This window comes from Homo sapiens, chromosome 11 (assembly GCF_000001405.40).
Source record: "Homo sapiens chromosome 11, GRCh38.p14 Primary Assembly".
Lineage (NCBI taxonomy): Eukaryota > Metazoa > Chordata > Mammalia > Primates > Hominidae > Homo > Homo sapiens.
Window position 1 is genome coordinate 6,588,731 of NC_000011.10, and position 23,529 is coordinate 6,612,259.

The 23,529-nt window shown below is 46.5% G+C and overlaps 3 protein-coding genes across 12 annotated transcripts, besides 13 other annotated features; 1 reads left to right on the forward strand and 2 right to left on the reverse strand.

Annotated features, from left to right (window-relative positions):
* Positions 1 to 6,341: 6,341 nt before the first annotated feature.
* On the reverse strand, positions 6,342 to 14,886 carry RRP8 (ribosomal RNA processing 8). The gene is made up of 7 exons (NM_015324.4): positions 14,674 to 14,886; positions 13,122 to 13,485; positions 12,419 to 12,872; positions 12,196 to 12,325; positions 11,939 to 12,045; positions 11,756 to 11,852; positions 6,342 to 11,535 (listed from the first exon to the last, which is right to left on the reverse strand). Exons 1-7 carry the CDS (start codon positions 14,770 to 14,772, stop codon positions 11,416 to 11,418), a joined length of 1,371 nt encoding a protein of 456 aa, NP_056139.1. The 5' UTR covers positions 14,773 to 14,886; the 3' UTR covers positions 6,342 to 11,415.
* Positions 9,849 to 10,143: a silencer, noted in NCBI's record as "tiled region #2811; K562 Repressive non-DNase unmatched - State 17:Gen3'". NCBI's record gives its function as "represses a minimal TATA promoter and a strong SV40 promoter by Sharpr-MPRA in K562 cells {active_cell/tissue: K562}" and the evidence as "EXISTENCE:reporter gene assay evidence [ECO:0000049][PMID:27701403]".
* Positions 14,119 to 14,660: an enhancer, noted in NCBI's record as "H3K27ac hESC enhancer chr11:6624079-6624620 (GRCh37/hg19 assembly coordinates)". NCBI's record gives its function as "activates a minimal SCP1, AML or CMV promoter by ChIP-STARR-seq in naive H9 embryonic stem cells {active_cell/tissue: H9 hESC(naive)}" and the evidence as "EXISTENCE:reporter gene assay evidence [ECO:0000049][PMID:30033119]".
* Positions 14,656 to 14,845: an enhancer, noted in NCBI's record as "active region_4344". NCBI's record gives its function as "activates an Ori minimal core promoter by ATAC-STARR-seq in GM12878 lymphoblastoid cells {active_cell/tissue: GM12878}" and the evidence as "EXISTENCE:reporter gene assay evidence [ECO:0000049][PMID:35858748]".
* Positions 14,916 to 15,125: a silencer, noted in NCBI's record as "silent region_3104". NCBI's record gives its function as "represses an Ori minimal core promoter by ATAC-STARR-seq in GM12878 lymphoblastoid cells {active_cell/tissue: GM12878}" and the evidence as "EXISTENCE:reporter gene assay evidence [ECO:0000049][PMID:35858748]".
* On the forward strand, positions 15,044 to 22,140 carry ILK (integrin linked kinase). 10 transcript variants are annotated; one of them, XM_011520065.2, is made up of 13 exons: positions 15,044 to 15,147; positions 15,450 to 15,630; positions 19,316 to 19,481; positions 19,664 to 19,759; positions 19,964 to 20,060; positions 20,154 to 20,237; positions 20,341 to 20,426; positions 20,569 to 20,678; positions 20,782 to 20,909; positions 20,994 to 21,115; positions 21,206 to 21,305; positions 21,418 to 21,548; positions 21,732 to 22,140. In XM_011520065.2, exons 2-13 carry the CDS (start codon positions 15,542 to 15,544, stop codon positions 21,879 to 21,881), a joined length of 1,359 nt encoding a protein of 452 aa, XP_011518367.1. In that variant the 5' UTR covers positions 15,044 to 15,147; positions 15,450 to 15,541; the 3' UTR covers positions 21,882 to 22,140. The 10 variants fall into 10 exon arrangements, with proteins under 10 accessions (XP_011518367.1, XP_005252961.1, NP_004508.1 ...); XM_005252904.6 differs by having other exon boundaries at positions 15,496 to 15,630; NM_004517.4 differs by having other exon boundaries at positions 15,044 to 15,092.
* Positions 15,436 to 15,675: an enhancer, noted in NCBI's record as "active region_4345". NCBI's record gives its function as "activates an Ori minimal core promoter by ATAC-STARR-seq in GM12878 lymphoblastoid cells {active_cell/tissue: GM12878}" and the evidence as "EXISTENCE:reporter gene assay evidence [ECO:0000049][PMID:35858748]".
* Positions 15,906 to 16,065: an enhancer, noted in NCBI's record as "active region_4346". NCBI's record gives its function as "activates an Ori minimal core promoter by ATAC-STARR-seq in GM12878 lymphoblastoid cells {active_cell/tissue: GM12878}" and the evidence as "EXISTENCE:reporter gene assay evidence [ECO:0000049][PMID:35858748]".
* Positions 17,378 to 17,577: an enhancer, noted in NCBI's record as "active region_4347". NCBI's record gives its function as "activates an Ori minimal core promoter by ATAC-STARR-seq in GM12878 lymphoblastoid cells {active_cell/tissue: GM12878}" and the evidence as "EXISTENCE:reporter gene assay evidence [ECO:0000049][PMID:35858748]".
* TAF10 (TATA-box binding protein associated factor 10) lies at positions 17,564 to 23,486 on the reverse strand. The gene is made up of 5 exons (NM_006284.4): positions 23,228 to 23,486; positions 22,934 to 23,088; positions 22,658 to 22,722; positions 22,459 to 22,573; positions 17,564 to 22,281 (listed from the first exon to the last, which is right to left on the reverse strand). Exons 1-5 carry the CDS (start codon positions 23,457 to 23,459, stop codon positions 22,192 to 22,194), a joined length of 657 nt encoding a protein of 218 aa, NP_006275.1. The 5' UTR covers positions 23,460 to 23,486; the 3' UTR covers positions 17,564 to 22,191.
* Positions 18,229 to 18,523: an enhancer, noted in NCBI's record as "tiled region #730; HepG2 Activating DNase unmatched - State 1:Tss, and K562 Activating DNase unmatched - State 5:Enh". NCBI's record gives its function as "activates a minimal TATA promoter and a strong SV40 promoter by Sharpr-MPRA in HepG2 and K562 cells {active_cell/tissue: HepG2 | K562}" and the evidence as "EXISTENCE:reporter gene assay evidence [ECO:0000049][PMID:27701403]".
* Positions 22,101 to 22,689: an enhancer, noted in NCBI's record as "H3K27ac hESC enhancer chr11:6632062-6632650 (GRCh37/hg19 assembly coordinates)". NCBI's record gives its function as "activates a minimal SCP1, AML or CMV promoter by ChIP-STARR-seq in primed H9 embryonic stem cells {active_cell/tissue: H9 hESC(primed)}" and the evidence as "EXISTENCE:reporter gene assay evidence [ECO:0000049][PMID:30033119]".
* Positions 22,690 to 23,277: an enhancer, noted in NCBI's record as "NANOG-H3K27ac-H3K4me1 hESC enhancer chr11:6632651-6633238 (GRCh37/hg19 assembly coordinates)". NCBI's record gives its function as "activates a minimal SCP1, AML or CMV promoter by ChIP-STARR-seq in primed H9 embryonic stem cells {active_cell/tissue: H9 hESC(primed)}" and the evidence as "EXISTENCE:reporter gene assay evidence [ECO:0000049][PMID:30033119]".
* Positions 22,690 to 23,332: a biological region, named in NCBI's record as "NANOG-H3K27ac-H3K4me1 hESC enhancer GRCh37_chr11:6632651-6633238".
* Positions 23,133 to 23,332: a silencer, noted in NCBI's record as "silent region_3105". NCBI's record gives its function as "represses an Ori minimal core promoter by ATAC-STARR-seq in GM12878 lymphoblastoid cells {active_cell/tissue: GM12878}" and the evidence as "EXISTENCE:reporter gene assay evidence [ECO:0000049][PMID:35858748]".
* Positions 23,343 to 23,442: a silencer, noted in NCBI's record as "silent region_3106". NCBI's record gives its function as "represses an Ori minimal core promoter by ATAC-STARR-seq in GM12878 lymphoblastoid cells {active_cell/tissue: GM12878}" and the evidence as "EXISTENCE:reporter gene assay evidence [ECO:0000049][PMID:35858748]".

The window sequence follows — 23,529 nt, forward strand, 5'->3', positions numbered from 1 at the left end:
ACAAAAATCAGAGAAAACAAATATCCAATAATACAGTACTAGTTAGATTATAATATATCCAAATAAAGGGATATGGAGCAGCCATTCTAAAAACAACATTCATATTTGTAGATTATGACATGATTATTGTTCTAGTCTTTTAAAATGCTTTAATAAATGTGTACCCATTCAGTTCAGTTGATTAATTAAAAGTTATAGAATCTCCTGTGTCAAAAACAAAGGAATAAGTTGGACATATTTGCGTGGCTTTATTTCTGAGTTCTCTATCTTATTCTATTGATTTAGGTATCTATCTCTTTCCTTCCACCAATACTACACAATCTTGATTACCGTAACTACAGTAAGTCTTACAATTGGGTAGATTCAGTCCTCCCTTTATTCTTATTTTTCAAAATCTTAGCTATCTGATTCCCTTACCTTTCCATATAAATTTTAGAATAATCTTTTCTTTGTCTCCAAAAAATCTTGGCTGGGATTATGATAGGAATTGTTAGACTTCTTTATCTATGTGAGGATAACTGGTATCTTTACTATGTTGAGTTTTACAATCCATATACATGGATTTAGATCTTTGTTTTCTATGTAGATCTTTGTTTCTCTCTGTTTAGATCTTTTCTTTCATCAGTGTTGTATAGTTTTCAGCATAGAAGTTCTATACATGTTTTGTTAGATTTACAGCAAGTATTTTTTTGAGTGTAAATGGAATTTTATTTTTATGTGTGCATTTCTAGTATATAGAAATAGTGTATTTTGTATTTTATGTTCATTTTGTATTTTGCAATCTTGCTGAACTGACTTATTTTTGTTTGTTTGTTTGAGACTGAGTTTTGCTCTCATTGCCCAGGCTGGAGTGCAATGGTTTGATCTCGGCTCACCGCAACCTCCGCCTCCCAGGTTCAAGCGATTCTCCTGCCTTAGCCTCCTGAGTAGCTGGAACCACAGGTGCACGCCACCACGCCTGGTTAATTTTTGTATTTTTGGTAGAGATGGGGTTTCACCATGTTGGCCAGGATGGTCTCGATCTCTTGACCTTGTGATCTGCCCACCTCGGCCTCCCAAAGTGCTGGGATTACAGGCGTGAGCTGCCGCACGCAGCTGACTTATTAATTCTAAAAATTTTCTGTAGATTCCTTGGGATTTTCTATGTAGACAAACATGTCATCTGCAAATAGGGACAGCTTAGTTCTTCTTTTCTAATTTATATACCTTTTATTTCTTTCTTGCCTTATTGCACCGGCTAGAACTTCTAGCACTATATTAAACTCAATAAGAGTGATGAGTGTGAAAATCCTTGCCTTCTCTTTAATCTTAATGGAGAGGCATCTGGTTTTTCACCATTAAGTGTAATAATAGCTGTATGTATTTTTATAGATGGTCTTTATGGAGTTAAAAAAGTTTTCCTCTATTCCTAGTTTTCTGAGAGTTTTTATCATAAATGGGTATTATATTTTGTTAAGTACTTTTTCCTGCACCTATTGATATAATTCTGTAATTTTTTCTTCTTTAGCCTTAAAATATGATGGATTACATTGATTTATTTTCTATTATTGAACCATCCCTAGAATAAACACCACTTCGTTTTAATGTATAATTCTTTTTTACATATTGTTGCATTCAATTTTGCTAAGAACTTTGTGTCTATATTAATCAAAGATATTGGTCTGTAGTTTTCTTTGTTTATAACATCTCTTTCTGGTTTTGGTGTCAGAGTAATATTAGCTTCATAAAATGAATTGGTGGGTGTTCTCCTCTATTTTCTGAAAAAGATTTTATAGAATTAGCGTTATTTCTTCTTTAAACATTTGGTAAAATTCCCCAGTGAAACAATCAGGGCCTGGAGTTTTTTTTTCTTGGGAATTTTTAAATTATAAATTTAATTTCCTGAGTTGTTACAGGGCAACTTCAATTATTTATTTCATATTGCATGAGTTGTGGCACTTTGTGTTTGGAGGAGTTGTTTCATTTCATCTAAACTGTCAAAAACATGTGCATAGAGGTTTTGCAGTATTCCCTTACTTTTTTATGTTTGTACAGTCTATAGTGATATTTAATTTCTGGTATTGGTAATTTGTGTCTTTTCTCTTATTTTTCTTTGTCAGTCTTGCTAGAGGTTTGTAATTTTATTGATCTTTTCAAAGAACCAGCCCTTTGTTTCATTGGCTTGCTCTATTGTTTTTCGGTTTCTAATTTCATGGATTTCTGTTCTTATCTTTATTATTTCCTTCCTTCTGCTTGCTTTGGATTTATTTTGCTATTTTTTTCCTAGGTTATTGAGGTGAGAGCTTTGATTATTATTATTATTATTTGTAGCGACAGGTTCTCACTATGTTGCCTAGGCTAGTCTCAAACTCCTGGCCTCAGGCAATCCTCTCACATTATATTTTAGTGGGATTACACTATAAATCTCATTGCAGTCCACTTAGGGGTAATAATCTAAGTTGTTTCAGGTAAAATATGGTAAACTTGCAGCAATATAACTCCAATAAATTCCCCCACCCCACCCCACCTTCTGAGCTATTGCCATGTATATATAATCAATATATAAGTCCAATACATAAGTGTTATACTTTTTCTAAATAGTTCTATGTATTTTAAATAAATAAGAAGAGAAAATAGAGAGATTTTACATTTGTCCACATATTTGCCATTTCTGGTGCTTTTTATTTTTTTCTGTGGATCTGAGTTACCATCTGGTACCATTTTTCCTTAGCCCAAAGAACCTAATTTTTTGTAATGCAGGTCTGTTAGCAATAAATTTCTTGTTTTTGTTCCTTCCTGCCCCATTCAAGATGTGTTTATCTTGTTTTCATGTTGAGTCCAGGCAACAAAACTGCTTGATATAGAATTATTGTTTGACATATTTTTTCCTTTTTAAGCACTTTGAATATGTCATTCCAGTATCATCTGTCCTCCATTGTTTTTGATGAGACATTGCCTTTTAAGTCATATCCTTGTTCTCTGTACATGTGTCTATTATTTTCCATGTTTTATCTTTGGCTCTCAGCAATTTGATTATGATATGAGAGACTATGCATAAGAAAATTTAAGGACCCAAGTTTGGCAATAACATACATTAGTTTCACTACCATCCAACTGGTTAGACTCAATCACATGGCCACCCTTAACTATAAGGGAAGCTGGAAAATACAATCCAGCTGATTTCCCAGGAAGAAAATGGGTGTTAGAAACAGCTGGCAAGTCTCTGCCACAACATACATACACCAAAACCACCATATATATTGCCAAAGACACATATGTGTCTAGGGACATACAACGAATGCACTGTGGGGGAACACAAGAGGAACTGAAGTGCAAATCAGGAATGAAGGGAACAAATAAAAGAACAGGAGGGGGGCCTTTCATGGACTGATCCTAACATAGTGTCATGAACTTAGGAGGAGGATTAACTCAATTCTCATTAATTGAGAATTCTCATTAATCTATGTACCAAGAGCAAGAGAAAAGCCCAATAGCAGTGGTGCCAGCAGTGCCATCCTTACCAGACTGATTCTAACATATTACCTTAGTTTTTGCAGTGGTTCATCCTCTGTTGATTCCTATCTGTTTCATGCCTCACCTCCAGACTTCACAGTTCTGTGAATTACTTATTGCTATCCTTCCAATAATTTTTCTTTCTTTTTTTTTTTTGAGACTGAGTCTTGCTCCATCGCCCAGGCTGGAGTACAGTGCTGCGATCTCGGCTCACTGCAATGTCCACCTCCTGGGGTCAAGCAATTCTCTTACCTTAGCCTCCTGATTACAGGTGTGCGCCATCAGAGCTCAGCTAATTTTTGTATTTTTAGTAGAGATGGGGTTTCACCGTGTTGGTCAGCTGGTCTTGAACTCCTGACCTTGTGATCCGCCCACCTTGGCCTCCCACAGTGCTGGGATTACAGGCAGGCATGAGCCACCATGCCCGGCCAATTTTTCTTCTTAACCACAGTTTATTGTAGTCAAACTTATACTATTACAGAGTAGATTTATTTTACCTGTTGAATGTCCAGTCCGAGGTTGAACTTTATCCATTACAGTAGGCATCCTTATTTTGTTCTTGGCTTCAATGGGAATGCTGCAGGTTTTCAAAGCTGGAAAGCTGTTGCAGAAAGCCCAATATGTACATAAACTTGCTTTCCAGCAGCAACAACCAAAACAGCAGAAAGACAGCCTTTACCTCCCAAATCTCAAATGAAGAAATCTAATTGGTGGAACTGATCTTGTACTCAGAACCCTAGCTTCAAGGGTTTTAATTTCTCCAGGTAGCAAAGAATTTGAGGCAACCAGGTGAATGGATAAATTTACTATGGTGGATGCATACTATGGAATACTCCTGCAGCTGATGGAAGCAACAAACTAGATTAACAGCTACATGGAATACACTGGTTATTTACCTATTTTTTTTCAGCTGCTAGCCTTTCCATCTCTCCCCCTGCAACTCCCCCAATTCTCTCCTCTACCCACCCCCACCCCCACATTCTGGCTGTGTTGCTGTAGCTGGGGTTCTACAAACATTTCCCAGACCCCATTGCCAAATTTCCTGTTAGGGTCTGCCAATGGGATACCCTAAAGGAACCCTTAAAGATAGGAGAGACTTCATTCCTGTTTTCCAGTTGTCACATGATCTCAGCTGCAGACATCTGGCTTCTACTAGCTAGTTCTGCACTCAACATCAGCTTTGCCACACTTCTCAGAGATATTTGCAGCAGTCTGACTACCCACTTGGCAGTCTGAGATCAGTCATCCCTTGCTTTCCCACCCTCAGGGCCATGCCTTTCCTCAGAGGTATAAGCACCAAGATACCTGGAGGGAGCTTCTCCCATAAAAGTCAGTATCAGTCAAAGAAGGCCCCTTCTCTGAGCTCCTAGTTTCTGGTAATCACATCACCTCTTCCCTTTTGTTTTCACAGGCCTTGGAATATTCTGATTTCTGCAGTTACTAATTTTTTAGTTACAACAGCAACTTCTTTCTACTCTTTCAGTCTTCTAATACTTGTAATTAAGTCTCTGTATTAAAAGTCCTCTTCTTGAAATACTTAGTGTGGTTTCTGTTTTCCTGACTGGGTCCTGACTGATAACATGAATGAATATTAAAAACACAGTTGAGTGATTTTAAAAAGAAGACAAGATTTGTAGGCAATACTCCACAGAAATAAAGCACACACAAAAAAGGAAACCACATATAATAAGAATATCTGCATAAAAGAGAAAGTTAAATTAGAGTTTTTCAGTTATCTAAGATCTTTGGATAACATACCGAAACTGAGGACAAGAGGTGATAGGAACCAACACATTCCAAATAAAGGTACTAGATATATCCACATGAAGTTTATTCTAAGATAGTAAAGCTGATCCACAGACCACTACACTTTCTATTATATGTGAGATTAGAAATAAAAGATTCATTGATGGGAATCTTTAGGAATAGGGATAACTTCTCCCTGCAAGACAAAGGAGTAGTGCACTCCCTTCATTCTAAACTGAGTGAGGAGGGCTCCAATAGAACCATTTGTAGATATTTAGTGTTCCCATGTGAGGGAGAGGCATTACATTCATTCAGCATTATATTCTCTAGATAGAGACTTGGTAAGCTCAGAAATGTACAGACCCATCTCCATCTGGCCACCAGGGTGGAATGTGGCATGGAGGATTCTTGGGAGAACATAACCTGAACCACTTATGAGGATTTGGAGCCATGTGAATTATAGAGACTGGCACTTCTCAGATGTATAAGTAAGAGTCAGGCTGGCTGCGACAAGGCAGGGTGAGAAAAGCAAGCTGCTGGCTGGGCTGCACTTCCAGTTTGGCAGGACAAATATGCATGCATTTCCTGTGGGTTCCATGAAAGGTAACCAGTCTTGAGGGTTTGTTGGGACCATTCCCAGGAGAGCTGCGTACAAGGGTGAAGCACTTTAGCACGAGGAGGCTGTGGGTACATTGTCAGGGTCAGGGGCTGAAGAGCTGAAGGGCAGTGTGGGCTGTGCATCAAAAAGAGGCAACCAAAGTCAGTTAGTGCCCCAGTCCTCATGGAGAGCTCCAGAGAACCCCAAGAGCTCACAAAGGAGTCAACAGTTAAATGCCTGTCTGCACAGAACACACCAATGGTACCTTAATCACGTAAGCTGAGACTTTCTTCGTTTAATATGCCCTCCCCCATTCCAATCCTAGAAGAGACAGGAAGTAAAGAATGAGTGAAATAATGACCATGTTCTCCCAAACCACTGAGGTAGAGGAACAGCAGCTTTAAACTGGATAAGTTGCTGACAGGTTCCTGAGATGTGGGAAAGGGTGGGGATGAAAAGCATCATACATACATATGTATATATAATATTATATATTATACATATATATAATTGTTTTATTTATTTATTGAGACAGGATCTCAGTTATCCAGGCCGGAGTACAGTGGCACAATCATAGCTCACTACAGCCTGAAATTCCTGGGCTCAAGCAATCCTCCCACCTCAGCCTTCCTAGTAGCTGGGATCACAGATAAGAGCCACTGCACTTGGCCCAAAAACATATTTAAAATGTTAATACTTTAGATTGGTTTCAGTCATGTTATAGGGAATAATGGAACGTATTTATACCAGAGTATTAACAATGTAGAAGGACCCTTGAAACGAAGCCAAAAAGATAGGGGCTGTGGCAATTAAGGAGACTTCCAAGAAGTCTAATACTAAGTAGGGCATCCCTGCTTAATCAATAACACTTCATTTCGTGACCATGAGACAAGAAAACTACAGAGACCTCATCCCTAACATCCTTCAGCTCCAGAACCAATGCCAAATCACCTAACTCCAGGTTATATGACAAAAAAAAACATCTGTTTAGGACATTCTTTAGTGGGATTTGTTTTTCCGGTCACAGTCACAATGACGGATTTAAAAAAAAAAGAGTATCTCAACTTCCTATTGGGAGTACATGTTTTCCCCTGATTTTAAACTCATGGGACAAAAAGAAAGTGTTGACTGGCATCTGGCAAGATAATTAAATATCTGAAACACCCTGAAGGAAACAAAGAGGGTACTGTGGTCAAGAGTAAGGTGGACAGGATACCATAGAAGATATATCCAGTGTATATAATGATAACTGCTAAAACACCCTCAAAACTCACTAGCAGAATGTAATCAAGTTTATTTTCTTGTTCAAAGTCCAATATGGATGTTTTTGGTCAAGTAGCTATTATGCCCTAAATAGTAACTCAGGTATTCAGACTTCTTCTATGCTATGACTCCATCACCGTCAAAACATGTGCTTCAAGGTTACCTTGAAGAGGAAGGAGGAAGAGAATAATGGAAATGGCTCAGCCACCCTTTAACTGCCTTGGTCTAGTATTGAAACATCACTTCCACTCATTTTCCACTGTTGAGAACTACTCACATAGGCCTAGATGCATGGAGCTGGGAAATGCAGTTTACCTGTGTCCAGAAAGAGGACATTTGGGTGAGCATCTGGCCAGTTTCTTCCACAGAAGCAAAGGTAATAGTGGTATGAATTCAGGAAGATGAAAATGAGCTCACTGGGGAAAGAGTATTCAAGGAAGATGGAGCATGTGCAAAGACTCTCAGTAGAAACAGTTTGGAAAGCTTGAGGAATAAAAAGCAAGTCTGTGTGGCTGGAGTTTTGTGAAAGGGGAGGAGTGGGTTAAGATGCAGATGGTGATGGTGACGGAGGCCTGGGCAAGATCACACGGGGCCTGAAAAGTTTGTCTTTTGTTCTCGAGGCAGTGAGAATCCATTGAAGGATTTTAAGCAGAGAAGTGACATAAGCTGATTTACATTTTAAAAAGATCACATGGCTGTGTGGAAAATTAATTGCTTTAGGGACACGAGTAGAAGCAATTAGACCACCAGTAAGGCAGTTACTGCAGGAGTTGGGTATCCTAAAACCAGATGGCTGGTCAGAGAATTCACCTGGGAAGGAGGATGACCAGGGGATGAAAGGTTCTAATTACTGGTCTCTGTGAAAAGCTGTAGAGAGTTTTGTGCAGTTACATAAATGGTTGGGTTTGGAGCTGAGCGGTGTCTCTGCCAAGATCATGTTGTTTCTTTTAGAACTGTGTTCCCTTAGGACTGGACTATATTATGGGAACAGAAGCTGGAGCACACCAATAACTGCAGAAGCAGTAACTATTTATTTGGAGAACTCTCAAAGGGATGCTGAACAAGCATGAGGCACGGATAACCAAACCCAATTTTATTCTTGTCTCTTACCACCCTCCAAATTTTATTCACTGGGAGGTACTCTCCCTGCTATGGAGAAAAGCTGCAGCGAGGTTGTGATGTTCTTAATAGATAGTCCTGTGATCAGTTTAAGGAACAAACATAATCTCAATTAATTAGAATGTCTAATCCTGTGTAACAATAATCTGCACCTGTTGCAGTTTTAAATCCCTTTTTCCTCTCCCAGCTCTGCCCCAGCTAAGTCTAGGAGCCTGCACTGGGAAAGGGAGGAGTGATTGGTATGCTCTTCCCTCTGCTCGGCTCCTCTCTACCTAATCACTGCTGATTGCTCTGGGCCCAAGTGATGAGGAGAGGTAAACAGATAAATCATTTTGCCCTGACTGGGTATTTCTATGCACTGTGGGCCTGGAAGATATTTCCTCTCCCCTATTCTCACTCTCAAATGATAAACTGGCTTCCTGCTCCCCTGAAAAAAAATCAAAGCAATCAGAAATGAACTTCTGGGGCCCTATCAGGAACTCTGGAAGAGGGCTTTCATAATGGAGCAACCTCTTACCACTGCCATTTACCTCAAACAGGCCCTCCACATTACTCAGCAATCCTTACCCCACTGCATTCTGAGTTCTCTCTCATCTCAATAGCACTCGACAGCTAACAACCTGCCCATCCTCCCATAAAAAAAAAAAAAAAAAAAACACTGGCTGGGCACAGTGGCTCATGCCTGTAATCCCAGCACTTTGGGAGGCCGAGGCAGGCCGATCACTCGAGGTCAGGAGTTCGAGACCAGCCTGGCCAACATGGTGAAACCCCGTCACTACTAAAAATACAAAAATTAGCTGGGCGTGGTGGCATGTGCCTGTATTCCCAGCTACTCGGGAGTCTGAGGCAGGAGAAGTGCTTGAACCAGCAGGCAGAGGTTTCAGTGACCTGAGATCACGCCACCGCATTCCAGCCTGGGCCACAGAGCAAGACTCTGTCTTAAAAAAAAAAAAAAAAAAAAATTAACTCTCCTGGTTTTACTCCTACATCTCTGGGTGAACCTTCTCCTCTTCCATCACCTTCACTGCTTCATTTTCCTTTACCCATCCATGACATGCTCCTCAGTTCTATTCTGAGCCATTTTCTCTTCTCATTATCTTACCCTGAATATCTCATCTATTCTGACTTTAATTACCACCTCTAGGCTGCTGATTCCCAGACCCCCAGCACAGATTTCACGCATGTCCCACTTCCTAAAATCCAACACTTTGAATGGCATCACCAGCCTACCCACAGTTGAGCAACCTGGAACTTACTTCAGATTCCTCTCTTACCAACCTCAACATCCCACCAATTCTACCTAATGAAGTTCTCCTGTCTGCCTACTTCTTCCATCATGACTAGTCAACAGTGCCCTCATCTTGTGCCCTAGTACCTGGGTTTCTATAACACCCCTGTTCTCATCTATCCCACTCAACTGGACCCTGTCATTCCTTATCTCTCCCTAGGTGAATAAGTACACTGGCTATATCTCAAATGACAAGCTCCGGGAATACAAAGATAAACATGGCTTGAGAAAACAGCAGCCAAATGCACAAAGGAATCACAATGCAATATTTAGAAGCTGAAGTAGCACTCTTCACATAGTACTTTGAGAGTACAGATGAAGAACTGATTTTGCTTTGGGAGTAGAATAGGAAACAACTAGGCTGTTCGGAAAGATGAGCAAACTGCCAGTCCGATGAATATCCAGCAGAAAGAACAGTACGTGTAGAGGCACTGTGTAGTGCCTGCCTAATGATTCACAGCCCAGCCTCCAAACATGCCCTCTGGACTACAGCCTGTTTCAAAACCTCCATCCCCTTATTAGAGGCATCCAACTGGCTCAGGGCATAGAACCTATGATCTCCCAATGGGTACTGTCAGGTATTCCTGGAAACAAGTACAAGAGGCCATATCTTTATACCTGGGCACATGGCAGATACCTTTTGGGGGAGGCCTAGAATCTATCATTCAAACTCACCTTCCCTCAGCACCTTGCCTATAGCTTTCCCAGGACATGCTGATCTGAGTCCACTGCAAGGCAGAGATAGTGGACAGACTCTTCCGCCAATGAACAGCCCAATGCCCCCAAGCCCACATGGCATCAACAAGTTGTTTATGAACAGAGACCCAGCTCCCTCACTACCCCTCCAAGGACAGAAGCTCAGAATCTATTAAAAGTCATTAAATAGCCTATGAAGCAGGCCTGTTGAAAGGTCTAGCCTCTCCCAGAGGCTTCCTTAGTCAACAAATCCATTCTTTACCCCTCAGCCTCCAACCAGCCTAGGGAAGATCTTCAAAAAACAATAAGGCTTACAACACATAATAGTCATAGCTAGTTTACTGAGCACCTCCTATGTTCCCAGCCCTGGCTACAGATTTCTCCAGTTAACCCACACAACCACCCTGCAAGACAAAAATTCTACCATTTTCCAAATGAGGAATGTGATATACAGAGATTAAATGACTTTAAGTGCCTCTGGGTAGCAGGCCAAGAATTAAATCCAGGTCTACCTGATTCCAAAATCTGTGCTCTCAGCTATATACATCCCAAAGTCCCACAGGACAATAGGTGTTGGGAGTGGCTTGATGCTATATGGTTCCAAAAATGGAGATGAGGGGAGAGGGGAAAGATAAACCACTAGAAATGCTCGGTATGGGGACAACCAAACAGTCTCAAGTTGGTGGCTCAGACTGATGTCTTGAGCCAAGATGTTGGTGGACAACCAGTTGCCTCAGAGTCAAACAGCAACAGCTGCCTGTCTGCAACCTTGAAGGCCTGGGCAAACTGAAGCTGAAGGAGCAGAAGCTATGGGTGAGCAGAGGAAGCTGATCTGTAGACAGATCAGATGACAGCAGAGTGGAGATGGCAGGACAGGAAGGCCATGTGGCTTCTTAGTTGGAAAGAAGAGCAAAACCTAAAGATGCCTTGAATTCCAAACCATCTAGTTTTCATAACACCTGAAGTGTCATGAGACAGATATCCCCATGTTCTCACAATAAACTCTTTATTGTTTAGCTAGCCCCAGTGACTTTATGCATCTTATAACCAAGAAGCCTTCAGTAGAGCAAGTCTGAGCCAGAGGTTTTATCACACTTTGTCCTCAGGGTCCACCAGGAACCAGGTCTTGGCTCACAGCCAGGCTGGAAACAGTCTTCACAGTTCTGAGCCTGGAGTTTGAGATCTGCCTCCCCTTTCAAGGAAGATCCAGAGGTCACCTGCGCTTGTAGAGACATGGCTGAAGCTGCAGGCCTGAAAGCTGAGCCTTGGGCCCTACCAGAGGGGGCCCAGTCTTTTGGAAATCAAACAAGAAGAAATGGCTGTTGGTCAGGTCCTAGGGGCAGAAAAGACCCAGTGAGAACCAAATCCTCATCCCAACTCCTTAAAACACCTCCCTCTATGTACTGCCTCTGCTCACAAAGCTTCCCAGGGCTCCCACTTCCGTTGGGGAGCAAAATGTCTGTTCCTGTGCCTAAAGCCTCCTTCCTGAACACCAGTACCCTGAATAGGGCCACATGAGACAAAAACAGGTACAGATGTCTTGGGGCCCTCACCTTGGAGACAATCTTGAAGCCTAGCTTGGTCACAGCCCGCAGAAAGGTTCGAACATCCTCAAAGCGGCTGCTGACCTCAGCCACTTTCAGGAGACCCCTGAGAAAGACAGAAAGTTCTGTGTAAGTGCACAGACTCATGCATGCACACATACATACATGCATCTGTGTCCTGGGGGCTCTTACCCTGGCTTCAGTACTCTATTTGCCTCCTCTAGGAAGTCCCTGATGTTGGTTCCCATCAGTGAAAGGCAAAACACAGCCACATCCACAGACTCATCCTCCAGAGGAACCTGTGGAGAGTGAGAGTGTTGTATAAGGCACACAGTGCAGAAGAAGAAAGCCAGCACTGAGATACCAGGATGGGAAAGGGGAAGGAAGGGTTAGAGATTAGCATACGGAGGTTGGCCCTAGAGCACAAGCCAGATAACATAGGGGTTTACCTGGGCCATGTCACACACAGTGACCCTAGGGTCCAGAGAAGCCAAGTCAAAGCAATGCACAGGGTTCCGGATACTTGAAGCCAAGCGGCAATCCCCACAGCCGAAGTCAGCCACCACTAGGGATGCAGGCCTGAGAGTGGAAGGCAAGGGTCACATATTGGTCTGATCTGAGCCTATGACTGACCCACCACATGGCTTCTCACAGTCCCTGACCCCCATTCACCGCTGGCGAAGATCCCTGGCGATGCGGTCCACTGGCTGCAGTGGCCACTTCTTCACTTGGCTCTGGAAGCCGCGGTGGTAGAGAAGAAAAGCCTCAGGGTCTTCCTGGAAGAGACGCTGTGCAGCACTGCTGGGCCCTGAGTACAACTGTTCATTGAGGTAGCGAAATCGGGCCCCATCCAGCCGCTGTGCCATGCGGGCTCGCAAAGCCCCTGCCCGAGCCTCATGGCTGTCTGTCCTGGGAACAGGAGACACCTCTGTCTTCTCTGTGGGGGCCTCAGCTGGGGCCTGGTCTGGCACCTGAGGTGGCTGAAACTTGTTCTTACATCTTCTCTTGTTCTTTTGCCGGTTCCGCCACTGCTTGCGGCTTAATGTATGAGGGGGTTTAGGGGAAGTGGACCCAGGGCTTTGCTTTGGTGGATCATTTGTAGTACTACCCTTCCAGGCTTTGGGACCTACAGGGAGGGAGATGGGAAGGTGCACATGAGGCAAGATCTCTTACATTCGGAGTCACGGCAAGTCATCCCAGCCATACCTCTGTCTTTGAGATCGTGACTGTGGCCTGCAGAGAAGTACTTCTTATTGCCTGAGTACACCATTAGCCCCAATCCTAATGGCAGTGGATAATCACTCTTGTATGTAGAACCAGCTGACCCCCCGACACACACACACCAACACACACACATATACACATCCAATGGTACCTGTTTGGTCAACATTGTCCAGGTGCTGGGCTGAATTTATAGGGGCATGTTTCTGGCATTTCCTCTTTCTTTTCTCATCTTCAGCAGAGTCACTGCCAACAAGAGCCTGTTTGTGGCATTTCTTCTTCCTTTCTACTTCTTCCTCAGAGTCACTGCAAGGTGGGCCCTGTTTTTGACATTTCTTCTTCCCTTTCTTCCCTACTTCAGCAGAGGCACTGGCAAATGATGCCTTTTTGGGGCATTTCTTCTTCCTTTCCTCCTCCTCCTCCTCAGAGTCACTTATACATAGGCTGGGGGGATGCTGGGAAAGAGATGCTGCCTCTAGGGCCCGTAATGTGGCCAAGAGCTGGCGGCGCTTGGAGCCCTGGAGGAAAACAGGGGATGACAGTGGGCCTAAAGAGAATGGATGAGGCCTGGAGAACAAGAAGGGAGAGATGTGGACCTGATTCAGACTGGCAGAAGCATCTGAATTCTTCCCAGTCAAGCCTGCCAGAACCCAGAAGAACTTTTATGTCACCACCCCAACTTCTGGGAAGCTGGAGAGCAGAGAAACCACCTATCCCACTTTCTTCAATGTGTAAATGAGCTAATGGAGGTTTCCCCAAAGGAAAATGCAAAGGCCACAAGCAACAAGACCAAGGCCAGAGACCAGGAATTCCAACCCTTCACCTTGAGCTTTTGCCTAGAGCTGATACATTTCTGTAAGAGGTAAGGAGGCTTCTGAACACAGGAGACACATGATCACACACGTATATTAAATATTTAACATGTCTCTAGCTGCAGTGTAGAAAACAAACTGAAGGGGAGAAATTGCAGACAGAGAGGCCAGCGGCTTGGACAATGGTAATGGGGCTAGGGGATGAAAAAGGAGGAAACAAAGCAGGCCGATTCCATGTTGGAGGCAGACTGAAGGGTAAGAAAAGCCTGAGGAAGCAGGGCCCTCACATCTGCAGAGGCTCAAAGGAGAAGATGTATTGTCGGGAAGGCTGATTCTGTGTTGCAGTCCTACCAGGTAATCCTAGGCCAGGCACTTACCCTGATTCTAAGTTTCCCACACCCTCCTTTGAACAATGATACTGACAACTCTTACTGTCTCCAATCCATCCTCCACACTGTAACCGACGACCCTTTCAAAATACAAATCTGAAGAAATAATTCCATTGCTTAAAACCTTTCATTGGCTTCTATTCTCAATATACGCAAAACTTCTACCTCTTGAACTTGAACAGCATATATGCCCCTTTCATTTACTATGTATTTCAACCACAAGGACCACTTGTGTTTGTGACTCTGACAGAACATGCTCTCTTGTCCCAGGGCCCTTGTACGTACTTTTTCCTGTCTGAAGAACCCTCTTCGCTTCACCAACTTCTACTCAACAACTCTCTCTGACCCAACGTCAGTTTCTTTTGGAAGTTCTCGGATCTTCAGATCAGGACTCGCCCTTAACGGTGCCACAGGTGTCCCTCCCCGCAATACACACAGCGCTGGGATCCACCAATGTCCGCTTCGCGGCCTGAAACAGCTCCCATTGCTCCCGCGAGTCACTCACCTTGTTTTGCGAGGAGGCCGCAGGCGGAGGTCGTGAGATTACGGGCCCAAGGCCCGCGGCTACTGGGGCCGCCTCGGCCCACTCAGGCTCTTCGAACATGAGGGTCGGGAGGGCAGGGTCGCCGAGTCCCCGCTCTTCTCCACGTGCACAGCGCTCCTCTGGAAGTCGGAGCGCTCAGACCTGCCAGAACCGACCCGGAAACCAAAGCGTGACAGCCAGGGGTTGCTAGAGCGGCCGGCGCGGCGCAGCGAACCATCGAGTTTAGCCAGGCGCGGCTAGAAGGGCAGGGAGGCGGTGGGAGGGGAGGGACGGAGGCCCGCGCTGCCCAAGAGCGCCACGGGCGGGGCGGGGCCGGCGGCGGGCTGCGGGCGCGGCCGGACGGGAGTTCCCCGGAGAAGGATCCTGCAGCCCGAGTCCCGGTGAGTGCGAGAGGACCCGCGCCCCCTGTCACCCCTCACTTCTCCTGAGTCCCAAGTAAGGAACGGAGCCAACCCTGGGGAGGACCCCCGGTCCCCTCTCCCAGAGTATACGGAGCCTGAACCTCCCCACTTCCCCCAACTCTGTTCGCGGATAGGGTCTAGTTGCCTGCTCTCGGACATCCGTTCAGCAGACACTACCTCTTCGTCACCCCCTGCCCACCCTGACCCGCCTTTACCTCGCGTCTAGAGGACACAGCCAGGGATCATCCCGCAGCCCCGAACTCCTTCACAGACCCCCACTAGCCGGGGACGCAGCTCAGGCCCCCTACCCCCAACACAAACACTTCTCTCCTGTAGAGGATAAAGCTTGGGGTTCATCCTCCTTCCCTGGATCACTCCACAGTCCTCAGGCTTCCCCAATCCAGGGGACTCGGCGCCGGGACGCTGCTATGGACGACATTTTCACTCAGTGCCGGGAGGGCAACGCAGTCGCCGTTCGCCTGTGGCTGGACAACACGGAGAACGACCTCAACCAGGGGTGAGCTGAAACGGTTGGTGGATGAGAGGAAGGCTAGAGATCTCCTGGCTACGTGGAGTGGAGTGCTCATGTCTGGTGGTGGCGGCTGCCTTTGCTAGCCAGTGTAATGAGTGCTAAGCATAGCCTGTGGGGGGCAGAGGGTTTTCACAGAGGACGCAGTTTGAGCTGAATCTTGACTGCAGAATAAGAGTTTCACAGGCAGAGGCTACAGAGAGCTTTCCAGCCTCAGTAGACTGCATGGCCAAAGGCTAGGGGGCAAGGCACAGAGCAGAGAGAACAGGAAATTGTCTGGAGTTCCATATGGCTGGAGGATAGATGATCTCTGTGGGTCGGAGCATTGGGTACAAGAGGAAAAGAACAGGACATAAGACTGTAGAGGTCTCCAAGGATCAGCCAGATCATGCAAGCATATTTAGGCTATAAGAAGGTCTTTATTTTAAAAGCAAGGTTTTAAAGCTGTATAGTGACATAATGAGATTGTCCATTTTTCAGTATCGTCTTGGATGCTTTGTGAAGAGCAGGTGGAAAGGAGGCAATTGCCTAGTTCATCGTAGAAGTAATGATGTCTTGGACTAGAATTAGGGTGAGTGAAAAAGAGAAGTGATCAAATTCCAGAAGTCTTTAGGACGAAGAATTGTGGAACTTGGTGTGGGGAGTGAGTAAGGGCAAAGATGAGGACCAGGGTTCTGGCTTGGGAACTTGGTTGTTTTTACTGAGATGGAGAAAACTGGAGGATGAGGCATTTTATTTTGGACATGTTAAAGTTAAGGTGACAATACAGCAAGGTGGAAATGTTGAGTGTGTTGTTGGTTATGCAGATTTGCAATTCAGGGGAGGAATCTGACTTGGAGACACAGATTTGAGAGCTATCAGCATATAGATAGCATATATATATCATATATATAGATGATACTTGAAGACGTGGTTGTGAAGGAGAACGTCTCAGGAGAGTGGAAGGCAAGAGGTCAGGGGACAGGAAGCCTGCACGACAGAAAAGGAGCAACCGCAAGTTGAAAAAGAAATAGGAAAATGTGTGAGTAAAGCTTACAGAAGAGAATGTTTTAATGAAGGGGAGGTAGTCAACGGCAGTACAGGCTACTGAGAGATCAAAGAACATTAATATTTTAAAGTAGCCATTGAATTTACAGTTGGGTTTTTTTTTTTTAAGTTAAGGGGTACATGTGCAGGTTTGTTGGATGGGTAAACTCAGGTCATGGAGGTTTGTTGTGCAGATCATTTCATCACCCAGGTATTAAGCCGTGGCACCCATTAGTTATTTTTCCTGATCCCTCCCTCTTCCTACCCGCCCCACTCTGGTAGGCCCCAGTGTCTGTTGCTCCCCTCAGTGTGCAGTTAGGATGTATTTGACCATCTGTGAGTGTTGTTTCAGAATAATGGGTGAAGAAATCAGACTACATTGGGTTCCTTAATTTAAGGCACTATGATGAACACCTTCTGTGCTGGGTGCTAGAGTCCAGAATCTGACATAATCTCTGCTCTCGATACAGCAGATTTGTGGCAGATTGAAAAGTAGGCCGGGCGCGGTGGCTCACGCCTGTAATCCCAGCACTTTGGGAGGCCGAGGCTGGTGGATCACGAGGTCAGGAGTTCGAGACCAGCCTGACCAACATGGTGAAACCCTGTCTCTACTAAAAATACAAAAATTAGCCAGGCGTGGTGGCGTGCGCCTGTAATCCCAGCTACTCGGAGGCTGAGGCAGGAGAACTGCTTGAACCCGGGAAGCAGAGGCTGCAGTGAGCCAAGATCATGCCACTGCCCTCCAGCCTGGGCCACAGAGCAAGACTCTGTCTTAAAAAAGAAAAAGAAAACAAAAGTTGAGAGGTGAGCAAATAGTGAAAGTGAATGTACACCAGTTCTACAAGGTTGGCTGAGATAGGAAGGCAAGAAGAGCAGTAGTGATGGTGACTCAGAGTGGCAAAATCAAATTCTTTATTTTTTAAAATTGGTGGAGTTTAGTTTTTAGGTTTGACAGGTCAGGATCACCTGTCATCTTAGTCTAGACTTCACTGGTTCCCATTAGGTTCTACACTATTTCTCTTTAATACTTTGCAAAGTCATTTGTTCCATTTTTCATATAATTCTCAAAGGGTACCCTGATAAAGACAGTAAGCACTGTTACTGTTTTGTTGGTGAGGAAATAGAGGCTTAGGCAGTTGCCCAGTGGGCCTAGCATCTAGGAAGACTCTAGCTGAGTCTAGGAAGACTCTAGGAAGATGCTGCCAGAAGGAAAAGGGGTGGAATTAATGAAACTGGAAGGTTGTGGTGCTGGTTTGAGGAGTAAAGTATGGGGGCCAAAGTTGGCTATATGCTGGATATGAAGAGGGGGTTAATTCCTTGCAGGTCTTCTTGAGATAGAAGTCCAGGCCCTGAGGTGGCAGGCAGCCTGATAGTGAACAGAACCCTTGTGCCCATACTTTTGCCCCCCGAGTTTGGCCTGCCCTGGCGCCACAGGCAGTACTGGAAGCTGATAAGTCAGGGCACAAATTAAAGGTCTAGGAGGCAAGACCAACTGATAAACAGGGGGCGTAATGCTTCCTGGGGATAATCCCATCTCAAGGAAAAGCTTTTGGCTATTTCTGTGTTAGCAGATGCGAGCAAGTTGTGGAGGAAAATGATTAACTTAAAGGCCACACCCCCCAACCCCTTCAGCTGTACGGGCATCTGGATGGCCAGACCCCTGATCAGCTCCAGGCCTTGCCTAGAGTCGCACACAGGAAGTGACCACAACACTAAGGCATCCGGAGGCTGCTGGCCCAGACCACGGACCGCCCCCTGCTCCGCCCCTTGAATCTGCAGCCCCGAACTGGAGGGAATTTCCTTTTATGGCCCCAGGCTGTCAGGCAGGCCCAGCTCCAAACCAATTGTTTTGTTTTGTTTGTATACTTTACTTTATAAAATACATATTTCTTGGAAAAGAAAAAAATCAGGTATAGTTTTAATCCCAAAACAGCCATTCTCATTTTCTTCTGTTTTCTATGCACAGGATTGCTAAGTAGGGGAATCCTGCTTTGCATGGTGGTTTGTTATCTACCTCATCAGTAGTCAAAAGCATTTCTCCTTTTCAACATAAACCCTTCCAAAACATCATTTAAATTCCATTCCATTTTTAGATGTTAGTTTCAGTACCAGAGCCAAATAGTAAGTTTGTTCCCTCTTCTATAAGTTGTGGCCTGCCTTCTCCAAGACACCCTTCTCCCCCACTAACATGCACTGAACAGCTGCTGTCAATCCATTCCCTCAAGAAACTTAAAGGTCTAACAGACAAGACAGTCCATTAACAGATTTTTACAATCCAGTGCAACAAGTGCTGAAGTAGGGGGACATATAAGATGTGGTGGAAAACAGAAAGGACCAATAGATGTTGCAGAAGGGGTGCAAGAGAAACCAGGGGAAGAGCACTACCACCTAAGGAAATGAGATGTGGGATATGGTGAAGATAACACATTTTTTTATAGAGGTTGTTGAGATATCTAGGTGGTTGGTTTGGTTTGAAGCTCAGGGGAAGGTCTGAAATGGACAGCTTTGGGAGTTGCTGGCATGAATGAGAATCAAAGTCCTAGAGAGGTAAGCCTTCCCAGAGAGTATGTAATTATCAGTTTTTCAGGAATCAAAACCTTTGCCCCATCCCACCTCCAGCTCAATGACCATTGCCCCTTCCTCAAAGGGACGATCATGGCTTCTCCCCCTTGCACTGGGCCTGCCGAGAGGGCCGCTCTGCTGTGGTTGAGATGTTGATCATGCGGGGGGCACGGATCAATGTAATGAACCGTGGGGATGACACCCCCCTGCATCTGGCAGCCAGTCATGGACACCGTGATATTGTACAGAAGGTACGTACAAACTCCTTCGTCATCCACATCACATACATGCCATGAGGGTCAGTCACAGGCACTGTAACATACAGTAGAAAGCATGTGTGCTCTTCCCCCTTTTCCCATGCCCTGACACCAGTATCTCATTTGGAACTGACTGTACTTTCTGCCTCTTCTTTTTGTCTGGCCATGGGGTCCAGCTATTGCAGTACAAGGCAGACATCAATGCAGTGAATGAACACGGGAATGTGCCCCTGCACTATGCCTGTTTTTGGGGCCAAGATCAAGTGGCAGAGGTGAGTACTCAGCCCTTAATTCCTGAGATGGGTAGGAAGTAAAGTCTGAGCCTTGGTGGGAGATTTTGGAACCCTCAACCCATTCTGTCAGTACTACTGTGTGACACTTACAGGATTAAGTTCTACATTTGTGCATTCATGGTTGGTTCAGTGACTGCCAGCGAGGTAGCAGTGGCTCTCATCATAATGGCCTTTTCATTCCAGGACCTGGTGGCAAATGGGGCCCTTGTCAGCATCTGTAACAAGTATGGAGAGATGCCTGTGGACAAAGCCAAGGCACCCCTGAGAGAGCTTCTCCGAGGTCCATCTCCCCATCCCCTAGCTTGTGTCCTCTCGTCCCTTCCCACCTGTCTTCTCCCTCTGTACCACAGCTTAGGTTGTTTTTCTTCCCTAGAGCGGGCAGAGAAGATGGGCCAGAATCTCAACCGTATTCCATACAAGGACACATTCTGGAAGGGGACCACCCGCACTCGGCCCCGTGAGTCACCACTGTGGGAAGAAGGGTTGTAAAAGGAAATAATCCTGGCCTCTTGGGGCTGGGTTAGGGTGAAGCTGGGTACCTGACCTGCCCACACTCTTAGGAAATGGAACCCTGAACAAACACTCTGGCATTGACTTCAAACAGCTTAACTTCCTGACGAAGCTCAACGAGAATCACTCTGGAGAGGTGACCCCTGCCCTTCTTGCCCTTCCCTCACTAAACCCCCATAAATTACTTGCTTTGTACCTGTTTTAAGTTTTTCCTCCAGTTAGTGGGCAAGGAAGTGGCAGCAACATTTCAAGCCTCCTAACCCCTACCTGTCCTGCAGCTATGGAAGGGCCGCTGGCAGGGCAATGACATTGTCGTGAAGGTGCTGAAGGTTCGAGACTGGAGTACAAGGAAGAGCAGGGACTTCAATGAAGAGTGTCCCCGGCTCAGGTAGTGCAAGGCGTAACCTGGAAGCTGCTAGTTCCAAGGAACCCTGAATAGCACTGAAAGAGATCTTTTGTACTGGGTCTCAACCACTCCCTCCCTCTTCTAGGATTTTCTCGCATCCAAATGTGCTCCCAGTGCTAGGTGCCTGCCAGTCTCCACCTGCTCCTCATCCTACTCTCATCACACACTGGATGCCGTATGGATCCCTCTACAATGTACTACATGAAGGCACCAGTGAGTAGGGATGTTGAATTTCCTTGGGGAGGAAATGGCAGAGAGGGAGCCTCTCTGAACTATTTGACTTTTGCCTCCTCTCAGATTTCGTCGTGGACCAGAGCCAGGCTGTGAAGTTTGCTTTGGACATGGCAAGGGGCATGGCCTTCCTACACACACTAGAGCCCCTCATCCCACGACATGCACTCAATAGCCGTAGTGTAATGGTGAGGCCACAAGCTCACTCCTGGCCCAGGCCCCAAAAGCCCTTTGCCTATCTATGACTTACCTCCTTCTATCTGTTTTCTCTTCCTCAGATTGATGAGGACATGACTGCCCGAATTAGCATGGCTGATGTCAAGTTCTCTTTCCAATGTCCTGGTCGCATGTATGCACCTGCCTGGGTAGCCCCCGAAGGTGAGTGAAGTCATCATGTCGGGAGGTAAAAAAGGACCACCTCAGAAGTAGTGGAAGGGGGCAGAGACAGGACAGGCAAGGGGGCCAGAACAGACAAGCCCTATCTCTCCAGCTCTGCAGAAGAAGCCTGAAGACACAAACAGACGCTCAGCAGACATGTGGAGTTTTGCAGTGCTTCTGTGGGAACTGGTGACACGGGAGGTACCCTTTGCTGACCTCTCCAATATGGAGATTGGAATGAAGGTGAGAGCACAACAGCATACATTTGTGTTGCGGGAGTGGTTGGTGATGGTGAAAATAACTGTAGTGGGCCTTGGCTCCTCACATATTTGTTCGGATATACAGTAATCCTGTCCCAAGGGCCAGTGGCTTCTCTCTACATGACAGACTCAAATTGTGAGGCTGCTTTTTTTCTTGTATTCGCAGGTGGCATTGGAAGGCCTTCGGCCTACCATCCCACCAGGTATTTCCCCTCATGTGTGTAAGCTCATGAAGATCTGCATGAATGAAGACCCTGCAAAGCGACCCAAATTTGACATGATTGTGCCTATCCTTGAGAAGATGCAGGACAAGTAGGACTGGAAGGTCCTTGCCTGAACTCCAGAGGTGTCGGGACATGGTTGGGGGAATGCACCTCCCCAAAGCAGCAGGCCTCTGGTTGCCTCCCCCGCCTCCAGTCATGGTACTACCCCAGCCATGGGGTCCATCCCCTTCCCCCATCCCTACCACTGTGGCCCCAAGAGGGGCGGGCTCAGAGCTTTGTCACTTGCCACATGGTGTCTCCCAACATGGGAGGGATCAGCCCCGCCTGTCACAATAAAGTTTATTATGAAAACAGGCTGGTGTGGGGACATGGGGACAGATAAGTACATTTAGGTTGGGTGGCTCAGGTGAAGTAGTGCGGCTTCTTCACATTGATGCCATACTCGCTGAGGGCAGGGGTCAAGTCCTCCATGGTTAGAGTGTACTTGCGGTCCTGAGGGAAGAGGGAAGAGCACCAACTGAGCACAGGAATCCCGGACTTCAATCCCAGATGGGTGACCCTGAGTAAGTCTTACACCTCCCCTACGATTCAGTTTCCCCAAAGGGGTGGCAGGATAAGCCTCCACTGTTGTGGAAGGTAATTACTGATTCATTAAGCCTCCCCTCACACCTTGCTCTTGCTCCGGGAGCTGCCGGAGGCCGTGCCCTTCATTTTGCAGTGCTGTAGGGCATCATTGGCAATATCTGAGATGAATTTCTGGGCAGCTAAGGAGATGAGCCGAATTCTAGAGAGAAAAAACTTAGATGAGAAGGAGATGGACAACATACTGCACAAGCACCCAAAACTAACCTGCCCTGGGTTTACTCACATGCGTGGGTCTGAGGCCTCAAAGCCAGCACGGTTCAGGTAGTAACCAGTCACTGCATCTGGGATCTGAGAAATCAATTAAGAGAACTGTCAGCAGAGCGGGAGGAGGGTGAGGGAAATGGATAGGCCTGATTATCAGGAAGCTCACAGTTTGGGTGAGCAGAGGGCAAACACAGAAGAGCGACTAGGGGAGCAAATGGAAGAGAACGCTGAAAAGCACGATGTGGCTGAAAGTTTTGACAGCAGGCTAGGTGGCCTTGTTCGGGCGGAAGCCCACCGTAGGCGTGTAATCTTCCAGCTGCATCAAGAAGTCCACCAAAGGCGTGCTGGACACCACGGGCTTCACGTCTCCGTTGGCCGCGCTCGGCAGTACGTAAACCCCGTTAGATATGGCCCCCTCCGGGGGCGCCGCGCCACCCGCCGACACCGGAGCTGGAGGAGAACCAGCAAAATGAGACACAGAGGTGGGAGGCGCAGGGCCCCAGCTAGGTCTGTCTATACCCTCTGCCCTCACCCGCCGCTGGACCCAGCCCAAGACGCTTCCCTCGCCCTCACCCGTCCCGGCCCTCACCCGCCCCACGCCGCTCAGCTGGCTCCCCGGCCCGCGCCGCCAAGGGTCCCGTGCCCCCAGCAGCTGCTCCAGCCCCAGGTCCCCCCGCTGTCCCCGCGGGGCTGGCCTTGTTCTCCGCGGCGGTGCTGGAGGGCAGCGCGGCGGGAGCCGAGACCGGGGGCGCGGGGCCCGGGGCCGAGGCGGCGGAGGCCGGCGCCGCCTCGGGGTCCGCGCCGGAGCCGCTGCAGCTCATCGGGCCGGTGGGAGAGGCGGCGAACAGAGCCGCTTCCGCTTCCGCTCGCGCCGCGCACACCCCGGGGTGA

Bases quoted from the DNA above. Each gene is read 5' to 3' on its own strand.
- RRP8 (NM_015324.4), bottom strand. From the start codon at position 14,772: ATGTTCGAAGAGCCTGAGTGGGCCGAGGCGGCCCCAGTAGCCGCGGGC. The intron at 12,326-12,418 runs GTGAATGGGGGT...TTCCACTCTCAG, and splicing joins GCCAGGGATCTTCGCCAGCG to GCCTGCATCCCTAGTGGTGG. The intron at 11,853-11,938 runs GTAAGAGCCCCC...TGTCTTTCTCAG, and splicing joins AATAGAGTACTGAAGCCAGG to GGGTCTCCTGAAAGTGGCTG.
- ILK (NM_001014795.3), top strand. From the start codon at position 15,542: ATGGACGACATTTTCACTCAGTGCCGGGAGGGCAACGCAGTCGCCGTT. The intron at 20,679-20,781 runs GTAGTGCAAGGC...TCCCTCTTCTAG, and splicing joins GAAGAGTGTCCCCGGCTCAG to GATTTTCTCGCATCCAAATG. The intron at 21,549-21,731 runs GTGAGAGCACAA...TTGTATTCGCAG, and splicing joins ATATGGAGATTGGAATGAAG to GTGGCATTGGAAGGCCTTCG.
- TAF10 (NM_006284.4), bottom strand. From the start codon at position 23,459: ATGAGCTGCAGCGGCTCCGGCGCGGACCCCGAGGCGGCGCCGGCCTCC. The intron at 23,089-23,227 runs GTGAGGGCCGGG...GTTCTCCTCCAG, and splicing joins AGCTGAGCGGCGTGGGGCGG to CTCCGGTGTCGGCGGGTGGC. The intron at 22,723-22,933 runs GTGGGCTTCCGC...TTGATTTCTCAG, and splicing joins TGGAAGATTACACGCCTACG to ATCCCAGATGCAGTGACTGG.